The sequence below is a fragment of the Homo sapiens genome, chromosome 16, assembly GCF_000001405.40.
Source record: "Homo sapiens chromosome 16, GRCh38.p14 Primary Assembly".
Taxonomy (NCBI): Eukaryota; Metazoa; Chordata; class Mammalia; order Primates; family Hominidae; genus Homo; species Homo sapiens.
Window position 1 is genome coordinate 10,294,497 of NC_000016.10, and position 6,934 is coordinate 10,301,430.

The 6,934-nt window shown below is 43.0% G+C and overlaps 2 annotated features.

The window, feature by feature from the left end:
- Positions 3,292 to 3,341: an enhancer, noted in NCBI's record as "active region_10378". NCBI's record gives its function as "activates an Ori minimal core promoter by ATAC-STARR-seq in GM12878 lymphoblastoid cells {active_cell/tissue: GM12878}" and the evidence as "EXISTENCE:reporter gene assay evidence [ECO:0000049][PMID:35858748]".
- Positions 6,523 to 6,723: a silencer, noted in NCBI's record as "peak2497 fragment used in MPRA reporter construct". NCBI's record gives its function as "represses an SCP1 promoter by STARR-seq MPRAs in K562 erythroleukemia cells {active_cell/tissue: K562}" and the evidence as "EXISTENCE:reporter gene assay evidence [ECO:0000049][PMID:32103011]".

Sequence of the window (6,934 nt, forward strand, 5' to 3'; positions counted from 1 at the left end):
CTAAGTCATTTAATATCTGTTTTTCTTCTTCTCTTAATTCGGACCTTGTGTCTTCCATTTAGTTTCTCAATTCATACAAAACCACATCCAGGCCATCACCAATCATTCTATATGACGAATGCTCCTTTTAACAACCCCACAATATCACCCCTTACCACAAAATCTTCCTTCAGCTTAATCTCTCCCACTCTAAGTTCCCACACCGCCCCTAATCCTGCTCAAAGCAGCCTGAGAAACATTGCCCATTATCTCTCCATACCACTCCCAAAATTTTCGCCACCCAACACTTTACCACTATTTCATTTTATTTTTCTTATTAATATAAGAAGACAGGAATGTCAGGCCTCTGAGCCCAAGCTAAGCCATCATATCCCCTATGACCTGCACATACACCTCCAGATGGCTGGTTTCTGCCTTAACTGATGACATTCCACCACAAAAGAAGTGAAAATGGCTTGTTCCTGCCTTAACTGATGACATTACCTTGTGAAATTCCTTCTCCTGGCTCATCCTGGCTCAAAAGCTCCCCCACTGAGCACTTTGTGACCCCCGCCCCTACCGGCCAGAGAACAACCCCCTTTGACTGTAATTTTCTTTACCTACCCAAATCCTATAAAATGGCCCCACCCCTATCTCCCTTCACTGACTCTCTTTTCGGACTCAGCCCGCCTGCACCCAGGTGAAATAAACAGCCTTGTTGCTCACACAAAGCCTGTTTGGTGGTCTCTTCACACGGACCAAGTGAAACCACCGAGTCAAGAAATTTAGCAACTGTCGTTTTTTTGTATTTCTCCTAAATTGGATTTTCCAGAAACACAATGAATATTTATAATGGCATTAATGAGCTCACTTATCACCAAGTGCTGGTTTGCAGACGTGATCTGAATGATGCCACCTTTCACTCTTTCTTTTTGAGTCTTTTGGCCAAGAATTACCATGTAAGGTTTTGCACAAGAAAGGAAATCTGCCATCTATTTGGTGCAATGGCCTTATTTGTGTATTCAAAAAGACATGATCCGGAGTGGGAGGTTTCATTAAAGTGGTTGCAACCCTCCAAGGCATTCTTCTTGCACTATTTGTCTGTGGAGCTTTGGGGTAGAAATTAATCAAATTTTTGGCAGAGATTTGTAGGATATTAATGTTGGTTGGGGATTTGATCCACTGTTTTCTTGAAGTGGGAAGAAAAGATCCCAGGAACACTGCCCAGCTAAGGGTGAGTGAATGTGATGGTAATTTACATGGAAAGGATTAACCAATTCTTCCTGAAGGATGAAACTGATCACCTTTGAGAGGTAGTGTGCCTCAGGGTCTGTTCCCACCCTTCCTCAGTGGCTGGGCTGAAACTACTGCCCCTGGTTCTCAGTTAAACCTTAGGATTCTCAAGTGCAGGGTTTCTCTATCTTTGCCTGAAAGATTGAAACTTTGAGACTGGGCGTGGTGGCTCACACCTATCATTCCAGCACTTTGGGAGGACAAAGTGGGTGGATCACTTGAAGCCAGGAGTTGGAGACCAGGCTGGGCAACATGACAAAACCCCATCTCTACAAAAAATACAAAAATTAGCTGGGCATGGTGGCATGCACCTCTGGCCCCAGCAACTCAGGAGGCTGAGGTGGGAGGATCGCTTGGTCCTGGGAGGTGGAGGTTGCAGTGAGCTAAGATCATGCCACTGCACTCCAGCCCAGGCAACAGAGTGAGACTCTGTCTCCAAAAAAAAAAAAAAAAAAAAATTCAACCTCTAGAAGCAAAGTAGAGAATCTCATTCCTATCCAGCTGGCACTGACTATGTGGGAGTTTGACATTATGTTTAGGGGCTAAAGTTTTTTTATTCCAATAGATCATGTACGAGTTAAGGGATATTATCCATTCGAATAAAACCTTCGCCCTCTGAAAGTTCCCTGAAAATCAACTGACAAAATGTAAATGATAGAAGAAAAGGCATACACGTTTATTAGCATGTGCTGGGGAGGATCGCAGAGTGATGGCCTAATATCCCAAAGGGATACAGATTCTTCTATATCCGACTTCTTAGGGGAGAGGATCATGGAAAAGTGTGAATGATTTTAGGAGAATAGCAAAGGATTTTTATTTTTATTATCATTATTATTTTGAGACAGAGTTTTGCTCTTGTCGCCCAGGCTGGAGTGCACTGGCGCAATCTCCACCTACTACAACCTCCGCCTCCTGGGTTCAAGCAATTCTCCTGCCTCAGCCTCCCGAATAGCTGAGATTACAGGTGCCCACCACCATGCCCAGCTAATTTTTGTATTTTTAGTAGAGACGGGGTTATGCCGTGTTGGGCAGGCTGGTCTCCAACTCCTGACCTCAGGTGATCCACCCGCCTCGGCCTCCCAAAGTGCTGGGATTACAGGCGTGAGCCACAGCTCCCAGCCACAAAGGATTTTTAGGGGAATTCAATGGGCTTAGAGAACACACAGTGGCTCAGAACAAAGTCTGTTGGGTCTGCAGAGCAGAAAATGATTTGTGACAAGTCTGTTCAGGTGTGTTGGCAGACTTCAGTCAGTCTTCCTGCGATGTGAGTTCAGCTAATGAAAACTCAGGGACCGGGGTCATTGTTTTCTTCTTTTTCAGGTCCGGGCTTTAGGTAGATAAGGGAACTTCAGAGAACAACTTCATCCTGTGTTTTGGGAGACACGGAGGACTGAGCGATGAGAAGTAGGTGGGTGAGGTCAGAGAGACCTTAGGTCTTCCTCAGTTCGGCCCATCAGAGTGCCCTATTTTGGGGTATCGGTTTCTGACTCCCAACAATGGTGAAAAAATTGGGCTTGAAGTGGACTGGAAAGTTAGTAAAATTTCTTTAACTGTAGCAGGAGGAGTCATAGACACAACCTCTCAGACACCGGATTGTGGAAGGAAAGAGCTTTATTCTTCTGGGAGCATCGGCAGACTCAAGTCCTAGAAACTGAGCTCCCTGAATAAGTAATTCCTGTCCCTTTTAAGGGCTCACACCTCTAAAGGGACTGCATGAAGAGGGGGTCGTGACCGATTGGGCAAGCGAGGGGTAGGTGACTGACGGCTGCATGCACCAGTAATCACAACGAAACAGAACAGAACAGGGAGTTTCACAACGCTTCCTCATACAGTGTCTAGAATCTATAGATAACTCAAGCAGTGAGGTCAGGGGTTGAATTTTAACTACCAGGCCCGAAATGTGACGCTGGGCTGTCTGACTATGAATTTCACTTCTGCTTATTCTTTTAACTTCTACCTTTTCAGCAAACAAGAAATTAAGTATAAGACAACATGAGGAGTGGTCTCCTTTCTCATGACCACCTCCGCTAGTTCAGAGAAAGGCGCCCACAGTGACTGGGTGACCAAGATATAGTTGCCTCAGACATTTGCATTTCAAAGGGGATAAATCCAAGACCTTTGAAAAAAATGTTTCTGGGTTGTAAATCTGGCAAGAGGCTTACTTGCCTCTGAAGAGATTTATAGACACACCAAAAGATTAAAGTAAGAATTTACGACCACTAGGTTTCTCTCAGGAATACTCTAAGAGGAGGAGGATATGGTCTCTTTTCTTTTGTGGTAACAGGGGAAATTCTTTTTTTTGTTTTTTCTTTTTTCTTTTTTTTTTTCTTCAATTGGTGATACTCAATTGTCCCAAAACTCTTAGAGTGATTAGAACAGAAAAAGTTAAATATATCATTGATTTATTTTTTCGGTCTATTTTTTTCAAAATGCCATTATAAGGGTAACACAATTTTATTGTGAGGAAACTGGGGAAGTAAAGAAAATCATGAGGAAACTCAAAGCCAGCTTTTGAAGTTCATTCTAAAAGGATGAACTCAATTTGGGTCTGCTTGGTAATTATGTAAATGTCCTGTTATAATTGATAATTAACTATTTTGTGTTTTGCATCATCAAAGCCAGCTCGGTATAGTTGAATAAAAGGTACACCAAATGAAATCTCATATCTAGACTAATTTCAAGAGAACCAAAGGAAATTATTATAATTATCATGAACTTTCTAATCACTAGAACAGCATAAAACCTTTCTTTATGTAGCAAAGTACCAATGAGTGGCAGGTGCAAGATAGAGGCTGTCACAAAAGAAAGGGCAGCCTAAGAATGAGAAGTTATAGCTTCTCTTTTCTATTTCTCCTCCCAGAGGTTGAGTTCTGCATGCCCTCCGTCCCCACAATTCTACTTGACATTGCCACTGCCTTCCTCTAACCTGTCTCTGTTTCTTCCTTACATTGCTGGTGGAATGACCATTCCGTCTGACATATCAGATTATTCACTATTTCTTCCTTCTCTGTTACTCATTTGTTGAACAAGTTTACTGAGCATCTATGTGCCAGCCACTAGCCAAAATGCTGTGGCAAGACCTGGCACAGTGGTTCATGCCTATAATCCCAGCATTTTGGAAAGCTGAGGCATGGCCAATTGCTTGAGACCAAGAGTTCACAACCAGTCTGGGCAACATGGCGAAACTCTGTCTCTACAAAAAAATAAACCAGCAAACAAAAAAAGTTAGCCAGGAGTGGTGGCACACACCTGTGGTCCCAGCTACTTGAGAGGCTGGGGTGGGAGGATCACCTGAGACTGGGAGGTCGAGGCTGCAGTGAGCTGAGATCGCACCAGTGCACTCCAGCCTGGGTGACAGAGAAAGACCCTATCTCAAAAACAAAACAAAACAAAGTGCTGGGGCTATAACCATGAAAGTGATAGGAGAGAGCGCTGGTAACAGTACTCTCTTCTTCATTCTCTTCCTCCTGGCCTATCTCCTTCTTCCTCCTTTCCCTAGTTTCACTACTTGGGGCTCCAATATGAAGACCTTTTTGGATGTATTGCATCTTCGTATCTCCAGGGCCCAGCACAATGGCTGTATTTTCGTACATGCTTCTCCAGCATGTATGAAATGAATGAATTCTCTATTGAAATTATTGGCCAGGCGCAGTGGCTCACGCCTGTAATCCCAGCACTTTGGGAGGCCGAGGCAGGCAGATCACCTGAGGTCAGGAGTTCAAGAACAGCCTGGCCATCATGATGAAACCCCATCTCTACTAAAAATACAAAAAAAGTTAGCTGGGTATGGTGGCAGGCACCTGTAATCCCAGCTATTCTGGAGGCTGAGGCAGAAGAATCGCTTATACCTGGGAGGCAGAGGTTGCAGTAAGCCGAGATCGTACCATTGCACTCCAGCCTGGGCAACAAGAGCAAAACTCCATCTCAAAAAAAAAATAAAGAAAGAAAGAAAAATTATTTATTCAGAGTCTGGGTGCTAGAGCTGTTACAGAAGGAATTAAAACACTACTTGGAATCTTTCCATTTTTATCTACATTGTTTTTTCTGCTTATTAAAATATGAGTCAATATCATAATAAAATCATTACAGAAATAAATAAAATAGAAAGTGCAACTCCTCCGCATTTCTAAATTCAAGAGATAACTGCAATTTACAATTTGATGTGTGCTTCTCTAATTTGTTTCTCTTTTTACGTAGCTCTATCTTTCTATATGCACACCTACATAGGTATATTTATATCCTATACATAATTTTAAAACCCAAACAGTATCATAGTAGTCAAATGAATCTTCAACTGCTTTTTTTTCTTTTTTCTATTTGATGATATATCTTGGCTTGGATTGTGCTGAATTTCTTCTAAATATCTCTCCAACTGTAATTGTATGCTTTTGTATCAAGGCCAGAAGCTCACTTATTTTTATTAACTAGTTCTCATTATTATAAAAGAAATACAAAGCTGGGCACGCCTGCTGACTCCTGTAATCCCAGCACTTTGGGAGGCCCAAGTGGGCTGATTACTAGAGGCCGGAAGCTCGAGACCAGCCTGGCAAACATGGCAAAACCTCATCTCTACTAAAAAAATACAAAAATTAGCCGGGCATCGTGGTGCACGCCTTTAGTCCCAGCTACTCTGGAGACTGAGGCATGAGAATCACTCGCATCCAGGAGGCGGACGTTGCAGCGAGCCGAAATGGCGCCACTGCACACTAGCCTGGGCTATAGAGCGAGACTCTGTCTCAAAAAAATAAACAAAAAAACAAAAATTATTTTACAGAAGCTTCTGCATAATCAATAAAATCATCGGGTCTGGAAACTGTGAAATACTTGGTTACCTAACCATAGCGCAAACTGCTTGCCATTCTCTAAAAGCTAGTCTTTTTTTTTTTTTTTTTTTTTTTTGAGACAGTCTGACTATGTTACCCAGGCTAGAGTGCAGTAGTGCAATCTCAGATCCCTGCAACCTCCGCCTCCCAGGTTCATGCAGTTCTCCCGCCTCAGCCTCTCGAGTAGCTGGGATTACAGGCACACACCACCACACCTGGCTAATTTTTGTATTTTTAGTAGAGATGGGGTTTCGCCATGTAGGCTAGGCTGGTCTCAAACTCCTGACCTCAAGTGATCTGCCCACCTCGGCCTCCCAAAGTGCTGGGATTACAGGTGTGAGCCATGCACCAGCTGTTCTTTTCGAAAATCAGAAACCAACCGGTTTCTTATTATAGACGACTTCCCAGAATGAAAACTACATTACCCACCCTCCTTTGTAATAAGGTGTGTCTGGGTGACCACATTTTGTCCAATGGGCTATGAGAAGAGCCATGGACAACTTCCCAGTTCAGTGATGCCTTACAGTATGGTGTGTTCCTTCCTTGTGTCTTTTTCCCCTGTGTAAAGGTTGGAATGTGGACCTTGGACCATGAGAACCAGCCCAGCACCTTAGAGATGAAGACACAATGAGATGAAAGGATCTTAGGCTCCTGACAGATTTGCAAAGTAGGACTTTGAAAAGTAGTTGGACTTCTTTAGGAGAGAGAAATATACTTGCATCTTTGCTCTTGTAAGCCACTGCTATTTGGGGTCTGTGCTATGCACAGGTGAATGCCTGCCTTTATGAGGAATGTGAGCCCCTTTATTTTATTATTTTATTTTTTAAAATTTGAGACAG